Consider the following 20,194-nt stretch of genomic DNA (forward strand, 5'->3'; position numbering starts at 1 on the left):
AGTGCAGATACAGATTCAAAGGCAGGAACATGTACTTGGCGTCAGATCCTATCACTTAGTGACTTTCCAAACTGGCCCACTCTCTGTCGATAGGCAGCAACTTCATGACCCAGCCCTGGATGTTCTGATCCAGTAGGTGCTGAGAGGTTCCCAGGAAGCTCTATTTTTTTTTTTTTTTTTTTAACCAACTCTCCTGGTGATTCTGATGCTGACCAATCTGGGGAACAGCTGACCTACCCAAGTGCCCTCCCTGTCCAAGCATATATTCTAGGGTTTTATATGCATTCGCTTTTTGTCATCACCTTCAGGAAAAAAATCAATTGTAGCATCTCCAATTATATAGATGTGATTACACACTAATTTGCACAACCAATTCCATAAATACATATGCAGTGCTGGTTTAGGTGCTGGACACACAATAGTGTACAAGACAAAGTCCCCAAATTCTTGGCAGTCACATTAGGGTATGATTTGACAGATAATATACAAGAAAACAAGTAAAGAAGATGATTTCAGAGAGTGATATATGCTTTGGAGTCACCAAAATGGAAAAATGTAACAGAGAGTAGTGTGGCGGCACAGGAGAGCTACTTTATACAGGATGGTCAGAGGAGGTGACATTGTGTGAAAAAGATGTGCAGATTTGCCAGAAAGTGTTCCAGCCAAAAGAAACTGCAAACTTAAAATGTTTGAGCAACAGAAGAAAAAAAGGTCAGCATGGGTGGAGTGTAGCTAGTGAATGCAAGAGTGTAGAGAAATTTGGAGAAGGACACAAGGTTCAGATGATATAAAGCTTGTGGCCTTTGTAAGGAGTGACTGTGATTACATTACGGACACCACTGGTGGGCTATAAGATGGGGAATGGTACAATATGCTGCATGTTTTTAAAAGCTCACCCCAATCTTTTTGTCTAGAAGACGGTAAAGGAGGGACAGGGAAGCATTTGAAAAACCTAGGAAACTCTTGAATTCCAGCCAAGAGATGATAGTGGTTTATGGAAATGCGAATGCAGAAAAGTGAATTGATTCCAACTATATCTAGAGGCAGAGGGATGGGGAGATTCTGCAGATGAACTAATATCTCATATAGTTTGAGCCAAGAGCAGAAACTAAAAGTAATTCCCTTGATGAATGACTTGACCCTGAGGCTCTTACATGCTAGTCCTAGATGTCTTCTTACCCAGCCATGTAACCTTGGACAAGTTAGTTTATCACTCCTGGAAATTCTAGTTCCAACATTTTCTCATCCTTTGGTAAATATAATAGTCTCTATGTCCCCTCCTTCTTTATTCCACAAATGTTTCTTAAATGGCTACTAAGGACTATACTAGGTCCTGATGAATCAGCCAGACACTAAACCTCCTCTGTACAGCTGACAGCTTGGGAGAGGTGACTGATATTAAACAAATAATTGGGCAAATAATTATTTAAATTATTATTGGGATTAGGACTGCCAGGGAGAACCCCAGGAATAAAATCACAGGGGACCTCATCTTGACGGGGGTTATGGGAAGGCTTCCCTGAAAAAGAGGCATTTTAGCAGTGGCACTTGGTGAGGGCACAATCAGTATAAGACAAATCAAAAACCTCATAGACCATGTTTCATGAGCTTTGGATCCACAAGCACCAGTGACTTTAAGTTAGAGTCAGTTGCTTGTGAAACTGAAGGGACTCTACCTCAGGTCTGCCCCAAGGGGCCACGTGATTCTGGGTACATTCTCTCCTGAGGTCAGCTAGTTCTCTTTGACAAAGCCAGGCATTTTTTCCTAGAATCGAATGTCACAGGAGGCACATTAGATGACCTGATGTCATGATACCCAGAGTGAGGGAGGCACTTGGCAACACATCAGGCAAGTTGGCTTCTTTCTCTGCCTCCACCCCAGGGTTCTGGGACAGAATGCCAGTTACTAAGTCTCCTAGGGCCGGATTTGGCCTATCCATTTGGAAAACAGACAAACTCCCCAGTTATCAATTCTGAAGGTTATCTCAGGAATTAGTCTCTTCCATACAAGAGAGCAAACAGTGCTTGAAGTTGCTCTGGCCATTTTGTAGGTGACAATTGCCCCTACATAAGAATTGCCAAGCACTAATCACTCCAGCATTTCCATCTTCCCCCGTCCCCTCAACACCAACTTTCACACAAAGACACTGAAACAGGATCTCCTTTGGGCAAGAGTTTCCAGGATCTTGGGGCTGCTTTCTTGTCTGCTTTAGCAGCTGGAGCCCGAGAGTGATTACAAAGGTTTCTTTTTTTTCCCTCTTTGGAGGCTTCTAGACAAACTCTCACTGTGAGGGAGGTCACCCACTGGCCAGATCCAGTGTATAGCCTGCCTATAAACACTGCAGAAGGAGAAGAAACCCTTTCTCAGAAGCTGGAGGGCATAGAGGAGAACTGGGCTTTGTCTCCAGGACCCTTTCCCAGTGTACCAAGGACAGCCACGGCTCCCTAGAAGGGTGCCCTGTTGGCCAACTGGTTTTCTAATCAGGAATGCTGAGATTATTAAAAAACTATCTTTATGGAATATTTCCATAATTCTGAGTCAGAGTCCATGGCCCAACATACTCCTCCCTAGCAGGGCAGTATGGTGCAATGGTTAGGTGAATAGATTCTGCACCTTGGGTTCGGCTATATCTGGAGGCAGGTAGATGGGGAGGCTGTAGAAGTACTAATATCTCAGTTAGTTTGAGCCAAGAGCAGAAACCAAAGGCAGTCCCCCTTGATGAATGACTTGAACTTAAGGGTCTTTGATGCTAGTCCTGGATGTCTTGTCAAATTTTAAACCTGTGACTTCAGGCAAATCACCCTCTCAGCTCTACTTCCCACATATTTATATTGAACCTAGGAAAACACACCTGTCATAGGCTTTGAATTTTAAAATTACTGAGCTGATGTAGGTAATGTGCATAGCACAGAGTGGGCTCAATCATCCATATCACAGCATTACTAGATGTCCACAGGAGTCTGTATTTGCTATGCTGCTGCCAACTGAGAGCTGGTCTAGTCACCAGCTGCTGAACACAAGTGGCCATGTGAGCAGTGGAAAGAGCTACAGATAGGAAGCAGATCTGCCACCAGTTCTTCTGTGGCCATGGGCAAGTCACTTGGGTCTGAAAATCCAGGGTCTGGAAAAGAAAAGAGTTAAATAAAACAAACTCCAAGATCCTCATTAGCACTTAACCATTTTCAGGAGGGCTCTCATAAGTCACTGGGAAGAAGGTAAAAGCCCCATATTAGTGGGGTGCTTTTCAAGTGCTTCCTTTTCCTTTTTGGCCTCTTCACCCCCACCCCACCCTTCCCATGAAGCTTTCTCAGCAGCTTCTGGTCAGAGATCTCCTGCTCTTGGTGGAATGCTATCTACGGAACGTGAATCCTGTGGCTGACCCTGGAGATCACCTGTTCTGGCTTTCTCTTCAGGGAGATAAGGAAACCAAGGTTCAAAGACTTGAAAGATTCTACCTACCATCACAGAGTTAGAGGTCGCTGGGCCCAGACTAGGACCCACCTTCTCCTATTCCAAGTTTGCCATAGCCACTGCTTCTCCTCCTCCATCCAAGTAACTATTAGGAAGGAACACACAAGGAAGGAACAACAATGCCTAGACTCCTAGTGTAAGGAAGGAACCTTGCTTGGAACTGAACTTCCCAAGCAAAGGTAATTCCTCCTTGGGCCTCCAAAGAGGCCAAAATACAAGAATCAGGAGAACTGTCTTGCTTCCAGTCCCAAGGTACGCTAGCTGTGTGCTTTTGAGTAAACTACCTAATTCCTCTGTGCCTTTTCCCTCACCACAACCCCGGCTACTCTTAAAGCCTGACCTGTCCCTACCTAACAAAGCCATTATGCAGAAAGGCCCTCAGGTGAGAAACCTTGTTTTATTTATGAAGTCACCAAAGGTATTACTCAGCCCCTGACTCCCACTGAGGGAATCCGTTGGAAGCTTTAAGCTCAGTTCCCTGGGTTTTGTGCTCAGCTTTGGAGTTTTCTCTTCCAGTGAGTGAACAAAGCCCATTTAGAAACCCAAACCTACCCACCAGTCCCTGGGGTCTAGGCCCAACTCCTCTATCTGTGCAGCCCAGAGAGGAAAGTGCCTGCTGCCTGATTCAATGGGCCCATTATGTATGGCTAATTCCACAGTAGAACACTGTGTCTTTGAGGGCCTGGCAGCAACTGGTCGTACCTGTTTTAGAGTCAGTACATTGTGTTTGCTGGAGAGATGAAGGAGAGCAGCACACAGCACCATCTCATCATCGCAAATGCCATTTCAGGTTAATGATTACCACGTACAGTATTACTGTAGTCAAAATGCGCACACCAAGGGCCCTTCCCATGCAGCCTGGCAGGCGGCATATAAAGGAGGTCATTGTGTGTGCTGGGTAAAGGAGTGAGAGGTGCCTACAGGTGCCAAGTGTGGTCTCATAGCTCATATGCTCAGGAGGGCAGAGGTTCACCGGAGGGGTGACACTGTGCACATATTTTCTCACTTTATAAGACAATCTATTTACATTCACATTGACACTGAGGTACTGTTACTGAAGCTGGAATTTGTGTCATTCAATAAAATACCCTATCAGCCTAAACTGACATTACAGAACATCAACTAGATCCCACAAGAAACTTGCTTATCTCAGGCCAGAACTGGTTCTTTTGTAGCCAGAGACATCCTACTCCTGCTGGGGCGTTGTGTAGGCCTGCCTACAGGCCTACAGTTGGGGGGTGTTCCTAACCACCTGAATGACTGAAGTTGATGGCTATCAGGCCCCAGCCAGCCTTTTCTATCTGCCAGAAACAAAGCAAGAATGTTCCCCTCCTGAGGTCTCAATTTACAGGCTTTTCACGTTGATAATTAAGCAAGGTTTGCCACCCACACTTCTATTTAGAGGTTCTTCCTGAGACAGTCTTGACATTGCCTTTAATTAGCCCAGCTGTGACTCCACCTGCTTTTATTGCCACCTTCAGCCAGAGGGGATTGCTCTAGGGCCAGAAGCCTATGACCTTGGTCATGTTCCTGGGTCAGTGAAACCAGTTGCATGATTTGGCAGAACCACAGAGACCCTCTTCTCCAAACAAAACAAAACAGAAAACCCTAATACTGGAAATTCCATCTTTAGTTTCACAATTGCTTTGTGTCAAGCATTGTTCTCTGTTGCAGTTCTCACTTAAAGTCCAAAAAATCCTGGGATGGGTGGTAATATACGTCTCCAGCATTGAAATGCAAATACATTTATCTGATTGGGAAAGGTGGCATGAAAATCTTGAGTGTTGGAGGTGAGAGAGCTGCACTGAAAATGGGAGAAGGAAAATAACTTGAGTGCTAAGAAAGAATTGTGACATCAAAGGCACAAGGAGGGTGTTTCCTGGTCACCTGAGTTATATCTTGTTTCCCCTTTCCTCTTAACACATAAATAAATAAATAAGAATAACAACAAAGACATAGCCTTTCATACACATAAAATCATAATGGCTGTAGTGGACTCTGTTGTTTGCCCACTAAGCAAAGAGCATTCCCCTTTCTTTCGGGAAATTTTTCTTCCATACTTTAAGTGCATGCGGTTCAGGTGAAGCTAACTTCACCCCAGGGTCCAGGCATCATCTAGGCCTAGACCATCAAATCACTACATGCCACAGTCCCACTGGCTGAAGTCATTGTTAAATGCATAGCCATGCAGCCTGACCTAAGTCAATGAAACTCAAATGTAGGGATTTTGTAGAAACTATTGGGGGAAAAAAAAGAGCTTTCTGTTGATGGTGCAAAGCTGATGGAATGCAGGCTTAGACCAGTGAATGGACTCTTTACCCTGGCATGTCAAGAGCCTGCCTGGAAGTGAAACCAATTCAGAGAAGCATGAACTAAAACTTTCAGAGAGCCATGTTTCTAATGATATCATCTGAACACCTAGAGCTGACTATACCTGACATTAACATGAACTCAAACTTTCTAGTTACAGCCAAAAACTTCCTTTGCCCTTTCCCTTGTTTCTGATGCAACAGAAGTTCTTAATGTTACAATGACGTTACCACACAGTTCACAGTGGTGCTAGTCCCCAGCTGCTGGTAGTATTCTTCTCTACCTGATTCTGCCAGGTTCCAGTGATCTTGGCTCAAACCTGGGCTCAGTGTACCTCTCAGTGACTTGGATAATAGTAGGATAGACAATAGGGAGGAAAAGAGAATTACTGATATGGAAGAACTTTGCTCTTCTTGGAAGAAACACATTGTAAAACTCCCAAGTCTTATGTCGACAAAAGCAGACGTCCCCCTGTGGCTTAGAAAGTACTCTGGGGCTTTGCCACTCAAAGTGAGGTCCCTTGACCAGCGGTAGGCATCACCTAGAACTTGATAATTTGTTAAAACTGCAGAACCCCAGCCTATCCCAGACCTATGAATCAAACCTTCACAAGGTCTTCAGGTGATTTATGTAATATGAAAGGTAGGGAACCGCAGTTCAAGAGACTGCAGGAGGTCAGGGCCCCAGGTACACTTATGTTTGTTTTATATCCTGGGGTATATGTATGATCTCAGTTAAAAGTAGGTTCCCTTGGTTTCAAAAAGTTTGAAAAACACTGATATACTTCAATCTTCACATTTCACAGAGGGGTAAACTAAGGCTGAGAAAGGATAAATTACTTGTCTAGCAGCAGAATCAGCCACTGAGTCAGGATGAAAAGCAAATGTTCTGAAAATCTTTGTCACCTTGGGTTAAGCAAAGATTTTTAAAAATATGGCAACAAAAGCATTATCCATCAAAGAAAAGAAATCAATAAATGACTACATAAACATTTAAAACATCTGCTTTTCAAAAAATACTGTTGGGAAAATAAAAAGATAAGACACCAATTGGTAGAAAGTATTTACCAAATACACATTTGATAAAGGATGTTTATCCTGTCTAAACTGAATAATAAGAAAACAAACAACACAATTAGAAATAAGGAAAAGGTTTAAATCGATACCTCACAAGAGAAGTTACATGGATGCCAAATAACCACATGAAAAGATGTTCGACATCTTTAGTTATTAAGAAAATGCAAATTAAAAACAAAATGAAATACCTGTGTATACCTAGCAGGTTGGCAAAACCAAAAAGCAGATAATATGAAGTACAATGAGGATGTGAAGCACTTAAATTTTCATACACTGTTGATGGGAATGCAAAAATGGAACAACCACTTGGAAATGATTTGGTAGTTTCTTACAAATTTAAACCTGCTTATCATACGACCCAGGAAATCCCCTAAACATTTATGCAAGAGAAATGAAAACCTACATTCGCGCACAAAAAAGTTGATATGTGAACATCTATAGATGCTTTAGTCACAGCAACCAAACCCTGGAATAATACAAGTATCCTTCAACTCGTGGGTAGATAAACTGTGCATCCATACAATGGAATACTATTTAGCAATTTTAAAAAGGAATGAAAAAGAAAAAAAATGGATCAATCTCAAAAGCTCTGTGCTGAATGAAGGAAGCTAGATTCAAAAGGCCGCATACAGTATGTGTGTGATTCCATTTATATAACATTCTGGGAAAAGTAAAACTATAGGGGCAAAAATCTGATCAGTGGCTGCCAGGGGCAGGGTCCAGGGGAGGTGATTGACTATAAAGGTATTGTATCCATTTCCTAGGACCGCCATCACAAAATACCGCAAACTGTGTGACTTCAACAGAAATGTATTGTCTCAGAGTCCTGAAGCCTGGAAGTCTAAAGTCAAGATGTTGGCAGAGTTGTCTCCTTCTGAGAGCTGCAAGGGGAGGATCTGTCCAGGCTCCTCTCCTTGGTGTCTCTTCTTCTCTCCAGCCATGAAGATGGCTGCCTCCATGTTCACATCGTGTTCCCCTTGTATGTGTCTGTGTCCAAATGTCCCTTTTTATAAGAGCATCAGTCATTTTGGGTTAGGGCTTACCTTAATGACCTCATTTTAACTTGATTATTACCTCTATAAAGACCCTATTTCCAAAAAAGGAGACATTCTGAGGTAGTGAGGGTTAGGACTTCAACATAGGAGTTTTGGGGGACATAATTCTCCCCATGACAGGAGCACAAGAGAACGTTTTGGAGCTGGAACCATACTACTCTATCTTAATTGTGATGATGGTCCCATGTATGTGTGTATTTGTGAAAAGTCATAAAACTACACTTTTTAGTCTGAATTTAGGGTGAATTTTGCCACTTGTAACATAACTTGATTTTTTAAAATAAAAAATAAGGCAGATCTCCCAAATTTTTCCTCAAAAGATTATTATTCATTCTGATCTACTGCACTTCCCTGTCTATACTGTATGTTCTCAGCATTCATGAAGGCAAGAGATTGTTTTCCAGAACCCTGAAGTAGGTCACAGTTTCATCCAAAAAAGGCTATTTTGCTGCTCTATGAATGTCTCTGCAACCAACATTCCACCAAAGCATAAAGATTTCATGAATTGTCTTTCCTGAGAGGCAGGAAGTAACACAAAGTGAGGACCAGCTGGGAAAATCTGGTTCGGGACCTGCAAAGGTGAGCTGGAGCTGCTCTCCACCCACTGCAGGTAGAAGCTGCACACTCTGCCCACAAGCCTCTGTAGTCTCAGCCCCCAACCTGAGGCCATTCAGAGGTCACCTGCAGGAGAGGGAGACAAGATATCAAATGACCTGCCAGCTATACTCAGATACACAGGAAAGAGCCCAGCAGGTGACCTCATATCTTCACGGGAGGGGAATGTAAGGCAGAAGCTGGGGGGTGTACTACATGTGGGTTAGACATAGACGTCTTCACAAGGCAGGAAAAGCATTGGAAGGGGCCAAAGACAACAACCGTTGGGGCCCCCCGTCTCCCCATCCCTGGAAGCTTCTCCTGCCTGTGCATTCCCCTCTGTCTTTTCCTGCCAGCGTCTGACATGGAGCCATTCCCCAGGGTTACTTACTATGTACCAGCTCAGGCCAAACAGAACCACCTGGCCAGCAATGGAAGCAGAAAGAAAGACCAAGGTTTGTGACAGCATATCTGAAGCCAGCCCTCCGCTTTCAGGAAAGACATTCTCATTGTAGACAGCCCCTTCTTGGCCAGTCTGCACAGGGGTGGGGTGGCTGAGACTGGGAACTGAATGGGGAGTCAGTTGGAAAGAAAGGGGCACACAGCTTATCTCCCTCAAGAGGCTGGATCGGAATGTCCCCAGAAGTGTCTGAGCTGGGTTTGAAGGCCCGTGGAGACACATGGCTGCATGCTAGGCCAGGCTGCTGTTGGCACTGGGCGCGCTGCCCGGAGGCCTCCGAGATGCTTGACAGCACCACCTCCATTCTTTCCGGTTATCTGTCAGAAATGACATCACTGTTTTGTTAACCTTCTCATCCTCCGCATGTTTGTGGATTCTCCATCTAGCTTCTATCCCATCTGGCCTTGCTGTTCTGTCTCTTTGTGTTTTTATTTCAGGTGCTTAAAACACACACACACACACACACACACACACACACACACACACACACACACACACACACACATACACAACTCCTCCCCCTAATTTAGTTCCTAAACTGAAACAAAAAACCTTCTATTTTCTCAGGCTTAGTTTTCTCCTCTGTAAAAGGGGTAAAAGATGGGTGTTTCTTTTAGTTCTGTATTCAAAGAGTAGATTAGACTCAGAGGGTCTGAATTTCCCAAGTATTTTTTTTTTCTCACACGTTTATAAAGACTACTGGTAACTACCGTGCGTCACACACAACACACACACTCACACGCACTCATTTCATCTTCGCAATAACCCTGTGGGGTACTATTATTATCCCCATGTGTGATATTCATTCCCTAGGCCTGCCATAACAAAGTACCACAAACTGGGTACAGTCACACATGAGGCAACCGAGACACAGAACTTAACAGATGTCTCTCATGTCACATAGCTGGTCCAAGGTGGCAGGCATGCAGGGATGGATTCCAGGTTTCTTGACACCAGCATTAGTGCTCCCTAACTATGCCACTCCGGTATTTCAAGGCCAGCTTGCATCTTCGCTGTGTGGTTGCTGGTGCGTCATTTGGGCTCTCTGAGTTTAACTTTCCTCATTGGGCAGATGGAGACAGTCACACGGTTCTTGTCAGAAGTAGCAAGGTGTTCTGTGTGGAAGCTGCCGAGCCCACATAGATGTCCCCCACTCCACAAGAACGCTCCTCTTCATTCTCACTTGTTCTCTTTCCCTTGCTTTTATGTTGGCTGCTATTTAGGAAATGATTATGCTGCCTTTCCCTTGATATTCTAAATAACAAGAGCCAAACTTGTGGGGAACTCATTACACGCCAGGTATTGCACTTAGCTCTTGGTATGCTTTGCCTCATCTGCCTTTTATTTAACCTCACAAGAACCCCAGGAGGCAGGTGCGACAATTATCCCCATTTTGCTGGTGAAGGTGAGGCACCAAGAGGCTGGGTAACTTGCCCCAGGTGACACTGCCAGTTAGCGGTGGAGTCGGTACTCAAAATGAGGTCTCTGTGACCCATTCTGTTACCTAACTGCTATCGCACCAAGAAAGGAACTAGGGTGAGGGCAGGGAGAAATTATGTGGCTCACATTGGAGGCAGCTTGTAAGTTTCACCCACAAGCAATAGCAAGAATCTAAGTTAGGGGAACATTTACAATTACTTTTTAAAAATCAGCCGTCTCATCTTTTTCTCATAATTCATACTATTGGTCAATAGTGGACTTCTTCACATATTCAGATATAAGAGAAGCCACTCTGACATGTAGTTCTAGATGTACAAACCCAGATATGTAAAGATATGGAGAAGAAAATAAACTTCGACGGCTCATAGCCTATTGATCTAAGTCAAACACAAGATTGAAAAGACCCCTGCTGCTGTCACTTAGATGTCAGGTCTTCACCTCCAAATCCCTGATTAGCACTTTGCATTGTCCTGGACAGAGAGAAAATCCTTAATAAATTGTGTAGGGCTGGGTTTTTTTCTAGTCTTTTTTTCCCGTCCACCACCAAAAATTCGAGTTTCCCATGTTCCAGGAAGTGGGGAGGCAGTGGCTGGGAATGGTCCATGACCAACAGCATGGTAGGCTCCACTGGGCTCACAGACCCATGGAACCAGGGAGCACTTTTGGGTATGGGGTCACAGAGCTGAGCGGCATGAATCAAGGCCTATCTCAAGCAGGGCCCACTCCAAAATGTGAGATAGATAAGTCTAGCATCAATGCCTGGCAGCCTTCCTTAGCAGGCACCTCTCCATCCCCCTGTTAACTTCTCACCTCCAAGCACTTCTTCACCAGCTATTCCTGTGAGACCTTCTTCACCATCAACAGTTTGCTACTAAGATATGTAGCTGTGGATTTGTTTACATGGACTAGCTACCTGAGAGTGTCTGAATTTTAATAAAGGATTTTTGGAGACTCAGAATCATCAAATTACAGTCTCTCAGAGGGAAAGCATTGAGCCATCAGCTAATCCAGGGATTACAGATTCACAGGTCTCCAGGGGCAGGCAGGTAACTGCAGGCATGTGAAACAGGCTCATGGCAACAGGGGATGGCAAAAGATTGTGGCAGAATAGAGAACCATGCCACATCTGAGGGCCTTCAAAGTCCAGCTTCCAAAACCACTCTTCAGGAAAATAGCAAACACAAACAGAAAGAAAAGCAAGCAAGAAAGCTACACCCTATGTGCAATGTGGTTTGGATCCTGGAACAGAAAAATAACAATAGTGAAACAACCAATGAAATGTGAATAAAGCCTGTAGTTTAGATAATAGTAACTGTTCCAATGTTTATTTCTTAGTTTTGACAAATGTACCACACTTGTATAAGATACTAATATTAGATGAAGTTGAGTTAAGGGTATATGGGAACTTATTATACTATTTTTGCAACTTTTAATAAATCAAAATTATTCCAAAATAATATATTTACTTAAAAAAATAAAAACAACTACATAGCAGGTGAGATCTATGATAATAGCAGCTACCACTTAAACAGATGTGGTGCTTACTATTTCTAAGAGCTTTATATATATTAATCCATTTACTCCACACAACAATTTTATCATGTAAATACAGTTATTCTCCATTTGTGTGTAAGGAAACTTAAACACAAGCAGGTTAAATATTTGGCCCAGACTCACACAGCTAGTAAGTGGTAGAGCCAAACTTGTAATCCAAAGGCACAGTATTTTTTCCTACATCAGCCCAAGTGAGGGATGTAAAAACATGTCTGTCAGGATCAGAGGCTCAACTGGGTGATGACTTATACCTAAGGGGCAGGGCTGGAACTGCAGTGAGTCAAGTGAGACTGCCCCCTCCTTGGCTATAAAATGTAAGGGGGCACTACCTCTGACACCTATTAAGATGGCTAATATTTTTTAAATTTTATTTTATTTTAAGGTTTTTTTTTATTCCCCACCCCCTGCCAAAGAAAAGACTTGCTTTAACATGTTTTGGGGCAAGCTGAGATCCAAAGAGGTTAACTTTTACTTACTGGAGGTCACCACTGTTTAGCAGTATATATATGCAGGATGTGCAGGTTTGTTACATAGGGAAAGGTGTGCCATGGTGGTTTGCTGCAGCTATCAACCCATCACCTGGGTATTAAGCCCCGCATGCATTAGCTATTTATCCTGATGTTCTCATTCCCCTCTGCCACCCTGACAGGCCCCAGTGTGTATTGTTCCCCTCCCTGTATCCATGTGTTCTCATTATTCAGCTCCCATTTATAGTGAGAACATGTGGTGTTTTGTTTTCTGTTCCTGTGTTAGTTTGTTGAGGATAATGGCTTCCAGCTCCATCCATATCCCTGCAAAGGACATGATCTCACTCCTTTTCATGGCTGCATAGTATTTCATGGTGTATATGTACCACATTTTCTTTATCCAGTCTATCATTGATGGGCATTTTGGCTGATGGCTACTATTTTTTATTTTTTGAGACGGAGTCTCGCTCTGTCGCCCAGGCTGGAGTGCAGTGGCGCAAACTCTGCTCATTGCAAGCTCCACCTCCTGGGTTCATACCATTCTCCTGCCTCAGCCTCCCAAGTAGCTGGGGCTACAGGCATCTGCCACCACAGCCGGCTAATTTTTTGTATTTTTAGTAGAGACAGGGTTTCACCATGTTAGCCAGGATGATCTCGATCTCCTGGTCTCGTGATCCGTGATGGCTACCATTTTTTAAAAAACAAAATAGAAAATAACAGCATTTGAGATGCATAGAAACTGGAACTCTTTCACAACTGTTGATAGGAAGGTACAATGGTTCAGACACTATGAAACACAGTATGGCTGTTCCTCAAAAAATCAAAAATAGAATAACCATATAATTTAGCAATTCCATATCTGTATATATACCAAAAAGAATTGAAAGTAGGATCTCAGATATTTTTACACCAATGTTCATGGTAGCATCATTCATAGGAATCAGAAGATGTAAGCAACTCAAGTGTTCCTTAGCACAGAAATGGATAAATAAAATGTAAATACATATATGGAATATGATTCCATATATTTATATGTACATACATACATACCTACCATACATGTATATACATACATTCCATATATGGATATATATTTTATTTATCAAGTTATTCAGCCTTTAAGAGGAAATTCTGACATATGCTACAACATGGATGAAGCTTGAAGATATTATGCTAAGTGAAACAAGCCCATCACAAAAAGACAAATACTGTATGATTCCAGTTAAATGAGGCACCTAAAGTTTTCAAATTCATAGAGACAGAAAGTAGAATGGTGGTTTCCAGGGACTTAGGGGAGGGGGAAGCAGAGAGTTATTGTTTAAGGGGCACAGACTTTCAGTTTGGGAAGGTAAGGAGTTCTAGAGATGGATGGTGGTGATGTGTGCACAACAGTGTGGACGTACTTACTGCCGAAAGCTGAACTTTTGTGTTTTTTTCTTTTTTTTTTTTTTTTTTGAGACGGAGTCTTGCTCTGTCACCCAGGCTGGATGCAATGGCGTGATCTCTGCTCACCGCAACCTCCGCCTCTTGGGTTCAAGCGATTCTCCTGCCTCAGCCTCCCAAGTAGCTGGGATTACAGACGTCTGCCACCACACCAGGCTAATTTTTTGTATTTCTAGTAGAGAAGGGGTTTCACCATGTTGGCCAGGCTGTTCTTGAACTCCTGACCTCGTGATCCACCCGCCTTGGCTTCCCAAAGTACTGGGATTACAGGCATGAGCCACCATGCCTGGCCCAAGAGCTGTACATTTAAAAGTGATTAAGATGGCAAATTTTATATTAGAAATATTTTACAACAATTTAAAATAAAATAAAATAATTTAAGGTGCACTGAAAAACTCAGTCATCAAGATAAATAATATTTTAATGCAATATTTTATGAGATCAAAACTAATGCACCAGCCTGGGCAGTAAAGTGAGACCCTGTCCCTATAAAAAATAGAAACACATTAGCTGAGTGCAGTGGCATGCACCTGTAGTCCCAGCTGCTGGGAAGGCTGAGGCAGGAGGATCACTTGAGCCCAGGAGTTTGAGGCTGCAGTAAGCTATGATTGCACCACTGTGCCGAAGCCTAGGAAACAGAGTGAGACCCCATGTCAAACAAGAACAACAGCAACAAAACAAATGCAAAACAAATCAGGAGGACAAAACTACCAAAATTTTAAATAAAGACAAATGTAGGGACAGTGTCCTTTCAAACTATATTGGACTTGAGACAAGAGGAAGAATCAGCAACATTGATCCTGAAAAACACAGCCCTTCCCATGTGCTTCAAGAGCATATGAGAAATTTAGCAGTGGATGGGACTTGGGTTGTACAATAAAAAAGCTCCCTAGATGATTCCGTTATTCAGTATTCCCTACCCCCTGCCAAAGAGAAGACTTACTTTAACATGTTTTGGAGCAAAGCAAGATCCAAAGAGGGTAACTTCGTTACTGGAAGTCACCACCGTTTAGCAAAGAATTCATGGTGGAATGCCTGGGAACTCAATGGCCAGTTGGGAGACCCTATTGTCCCATTCCAGGACAATTCTGCCTTAGGGGCCCTGTAAGGTGCTCATTAGGACACCAAGCCTGCACAACACCTGCCAGATCTTTTGCACCTTTTACCCAACTTCCAGCTCCAGGCTGATTCTAAAATGTATTTCAGGCCAGGCACAGTGGCTCACACTTGTAATCCCAGCACTTTGGGAGGTTGAAATAGGAGCATCGCTTGAGCCCAGGAGTTTGAGACCAGCCCTAGCAACATAACAAGACCCCATCTCTAAAGAAAATTTAAAAATCAGCCAGGCAGGTGGTGCGCACTTGTAGTCCCAGCTACTATGAAGGCTGAGATGGGAGGATTGCTTGAGCCTGAAAGGTCAAGGCTGCAGTGAGCTGTGGTCACACCACTGCACTTCAGCCCGGGTGACAGAATGAGACCCTGTCTCAAAAAATAAAATGTGTTTCAAACTTAATCACTCAACACCCTGCTGCCCTTAGCCAACTCACTTGGGACGTTTCAGATGGAAGGCAGCAGCGGGACAAGTCTCTGCAGAAACACTGGGGTTTAGGTGCTGCCATTAACAATGCAAATTCAGGGGAGTGTCAGCTGATTTATTCAACAGCACCTTTGGCATGTCCTCGCACCCCACTCAGTTTCATCTATCATCCCCTGTCAGCCCTGGGAGCGGGCTGGATGGGCTACATGTGCTAACCAAGTTCCATTAATATTGTCTCAGGGCTCTGGATTTATGGAGGCTTATTTCTTAATTTTTGGATTCCAATGATTACAGTTATGAGATCCTGTCATAGTCCTGTAGGCTCTCACCCTCTCTCTGAATGTTTCTGTTTTCTTTACCAAGGAGCAGACAACTCATTTCCTTCTTTCTCAGCCTGCAGGGTCTGGCCCTGTCTGCCTCTCAGAGTGCACTGCCAGCCCCTACCCTGGCCCTCTCCAGCCTCCAGTAGCTCAGCTGACCCCATGACCTTTGCAATGCTTCTCTTTTCTCCTTGTATACCTCTCCCCTTCCCACCTTTCTCCATTCTCCAGCCTCTTCTCCCAGTTCAGTGAGTCTCCACTGGGGGTGATGCTGCCCTGCAGGGGACATCTGGCAATGTCTGCAGGCATTTTGACTGTCACAACTGGGGCTAGTGGGTGGTGCTACTGGCATCTAGTGGGTGGAGGTCAAGGCTGCTGCTCAAGATTCTACAAGGCACATGACAGCCTCCCCTGCCTTCAAAGAATGATCCAGCCCAAAGCATTAATTAGGGCTGAGATTGAGAAACCCTGCTCCAGCTAAGCAAATCATCAGCTGAAACTCAAGGATCACTTTCTCTCCTGGGGAAGCTGGCTCAGAGGGCACTCTCCTGCCATCCTCACCCCAACACCACCACCATCACCACCCAAATGCACACCAGACTATGCCATTTTCAGGGCATACCCCTTCTTTCCTTTAGGGTACTCATTTTAGTTTGTCCCCCATTGTATTTCTGTGCTCTGTGTGATGAGTATCTACCCCCACACTCAAAGCTGCACAAGATCGGGGACTTCTTGCTGATCCTGTATCTGTGTCTATGATCGAGTGTCTGTGTCTGTGATCAGCACTGGATCCCCAGGGCAGAGCAGGTTGCTTGATGCACAGTAGGTTCTCAACAAACAATTGAAACAATCAATGAATCCTCCTTCTATGCCTCTTTGGAGGGCCCACCAGATTCAGGGCAGCCTCTAAGACCTGCCGAACTGAAATTGTGGGGAAAGGGTCAGCCTGTGTGTACCACTGGGAGCAGAGAGTGAGGGGTGAACACATCTGGATAAACTTCCTCACCCCTCTGTCAGCAAATATTTATTGAGGCACTTATTTTATGCCAGGAACTGTTGGATATTAATTGCAGTCATGTACAAGACGGATGTAAGTCTTGACCTCATCGATCTTTGATCTTTTGGAAAGACAGTCATCAAATGAGTGATGAATGTTTCAAAGGGAAAGGAAGTGGGGCTGTGGATACCCATGCTGGGAAAATCTAAACTTGTCTAGGTGGGAAGGATGAAAGGGCTCTTTTTTCTTCTTCCTCTTTTGTGTGGTCCTCCTCTTTGACCTCTACCTCCCATCTCAGGGCTGGGATTAATGTGACCTATGTTCAAAGTTATCTTTGGGAATCATCCCAAAGCAGATAGGCACAACCTAAGGGTGTACAAGACAACTACTGGGAGATAAATAGAAAATATTAGATCTTGTTATATTTATTTTAATGTCATCCTTGTTTGAATTTTTATCTAGGAGTATGTTTTATAATCTCCAAATTGGGTCCATAGAAGCAGACTCTGAAACATAGAGTTGCAGGCAGGTTTGTTGGGGAGTAGTCCCAGTTGGTACACTTGGGACTGTATCAACTTGCCACTATATGGAAGTGAGGAGGGCAGTACTGGGCATAGGAGAAAGCTGACCTAAAATGCACATGCAACAGAGGTCTCAACAAACCCTACCGGGAGCTCCGGGGCTGTGATAGCCCTTGAGAGTGGTCTTGCATTGAGGCAATGGAGTGGGGTCTTTATATCCCCATCAGTCAGTCACTGGCTACAAGCCACCCTCTGGGAGTACATGGCCTTGGGTGAGCTGTTTGTTATAGCCAAGGGCAGTTTCCAATCAGGAATGTAGCTGTGAGGCTTTGGCAACAAATATTTCCAGTTGCTGGGAGGTGGTGGCATTAACTCTAAAGAGAGGGTCTAGGCAGAGCACCACAGTGTCCACCACAAGAATCTATTTCTACAGCAATACATGTGAATTCCACACGTGTGCGCATGCATATGCATGCACTCACATACACACACACTTCAAAAATTGTGTGTGTGTGACCCAAAATGTTATGCTGGTAGGGGCATGCCATATAGATAATGTGGTGACCACCAATTTAGAGTAGATGTACCCAAATGATAAAAGGAGTTGTTTTTATCAGTCTGCCCCCACTCTCCCATTATCATTATGGGCATCATTTCAAAAACGTTTCTCCCAAGCTGCTATAATAAATAATGCATTTATTCCCTCATTTTGAAAATAACAAAGGACAAAACAACTGTGGGTGATAGAAAACAAGACAGAGAACAACCAAAACTAATTTGATTTGGAATTCTGATATGATTGTATTTTTGTTAGCACAGTGGTTAGGAGTCTGGGTTTAAAGCCTGGTGATCTGGGTTTAGTTACCAGTTCTACTACTTAGTATGTGAACTTGAGCAAGCTGGTTAATATATCTCATGCCCATTTCTTCATCTATAAAACAAGGATAATAAAGCACCTATTTCATGGGATTATAATGAGGATTAAATGAACTAATACATTAAAGTACTTAGGACAATGACTGGGATATAGTAAGCACTCAATAGTTGTTACTCAACCTCATTAGTCTACATGGCTTTTTTCCAGAAAAATGGAGGTTTGGGGCCTTTGAAACTATTATGGAGCTCCTTGTATCAGTTAAGAGCAGGCTTGCCTATGAGTGACAGAAAATTCAAAGCAAGAGGTAGAAGTTTATTTCCCTTTCACAGTTGGTTTTGCCAGCTGAGATGACAAACCCACAGTCTTGAAATACCATGAATCCTTCTAACTCTTAATGATCCTACCTCATGGTCCTATATAGCTGCTCCAGCCCCTGACATCACATCTGCATTCCAAGCCTATAGCTCAGAAAGAAGGACAGAGGAGTTATCAGAGAATAGTCAGCAGTCTCTGCCAAATGTCTTGACTTTGCTTTTAACATGGGAAGGGCAGGAAGGCACAGCCCATTACCGACGATGCTTCACTGATAACTAACATTGAATCCATAACATCTAGAACTGTTCTTTCCTTTGGTCTGAAGCTGAACACAGTGATCCCTTGGAGCTCACCTTTGGCATGGCACCTGGAACAGATTCTAACTAAACCACCAGTTGAAGGCCTTCTCCTCACTTGGTCCCTCAAGGAACCTCCTTCTTCTGCAGGGGCTTTCTAATCACACAACCCTTATAGGCCCCTGAGTCCTCTAAATTATTCTACTTGTTCTCCCTCACCTGACCATTTCCCTTCCTTGGCCTTTAAGCTGACTTCAGCCATTCCTTTTCATCCAGTTTTCAGTGTTGTGGTCATTTTTCCTGCTGAAGATGGAGAGACCGTAGGATGGCTGTGTTTCAGGAGAGGAGGGAACAGTCAGACGTGTTCACTGCATAGGGGTCACCTCCTACAGCCACTCCTGTTATGTAAGGCCATCTCTGTGTCTTTGCCACTTTGATGTTCTTTTTACCAAAAGCTGCCTCTCTAGCCTGGCTGAGTGTAATGCCAGCCCCAGAAGGAGGCAGTGGTGTAGTGGTGGGTTGTGTTCTAGGACAGATTCCCCACTTCCCCTTCACGGACCAGTAAGGACTCCTGCGAGTAGAGCACACCATGCTAGTGAGGCCCAGGTTACTCATGCAGCCCCTAGAGGGCAGTAGACTTTACTCCTCATCAAGGCCAGGCAATTGCCTAGCCCTGCCAACACTTGCCTAACCTTTTACAACTTATCACTAAAAGGAATGCCAACTAATTACTGGGCATCCACTGTGTCAGGGATTAAATCGGCTCATCAAATCCTAACAACAGCCCTGCAAGATGGGGGAGTTTAGCTCCATTTTACAAATGAGGAAACCAAAGACCAGAGAGGTTGAGTAACTTACCCAAGGCTATAGATCTAGAAAGTGGTAGGACCAGGACTGCAACTCAGGTCTGATGCCCAGACTATGTTCTTTATCCTATGTGAGTTGCCTCTCATTAAATGTCCATAATTAGTCAGTGGTACGGAGAGGGAGGTATGGAGAATCAACACAATGAATGCAATGAATATTTACTAAGCTTCTACTAAGTGCCAGGTACCAGGGATACAAAGATGGATAAGACATGATCCTCAAGAAATGTCAGTTTAGCCAGGAATACAGTCGTGGACATGGATTACTTCAGGCCAGTGTACTAAGGGCAAAGATCTTATGAATACTCAGCAGCATAATCCATACTTGGGTAGAAATTTAAGAGAGGGAGCAGGAGGAATCACAGGAAGCTTCCTGGAAAGGACCATCTCTGAGCTGAGTCTTAAAGGGTGAATTTGAGTAGACAGGTAGATAATGTAAAAGGCATTTCAGGCAGAGGACACAAAACATGCAAAGGTCAGGAGGTAGGGCCGGTATAACATACCAGCCATATACTCTGTATGTATAGGCTCCAGTGTAGCATTTCAGTATACACCCAGCAAACATTTTTCACCAAATAAATGCATTCTCCTCCT

General features: G+C 43.8%; 2 long non-coding RNA genes across 2 annotated transcripts in view; one reads left to right on the forward strand and one right to left on the reverse strand.

Annotated features, from left to right (window-relative positions):
• Positions 1–20,194, forward strand: part of LOC102723568 (uncharacterized) — a 185,086-nt gene that overhangs the window by 129,017 nt on the left and 35,875 nt on the right. The window lies entirely within an intron of this gene.
• On the reverse strand, positions 164–4,244 carry LOC105376625 (uncharacterized). The gene is made up of 3 exons (XR_931187.3): positions 4,175–4,244; positions 3,461–3,557; positions 164–3,122 (listed from the first exon to the last, which is right to left on the reverse strand). It is a non-coding gene; the product is annotated as an uncharacterized LOC105376625 (long non-coding RNA).

This window comes from Homo sapiens, chromosome 11 (assembly GCF_000001405.40).
Source record: "Homo sapiens chromosome 11, GRCh38.p14 Primary Assembly".
Lineage (NCBI taxonomy): Eukaryota > Metazoa > Chordata > Mammalia > Primates > Hominidae > Homo > Homo sapiens.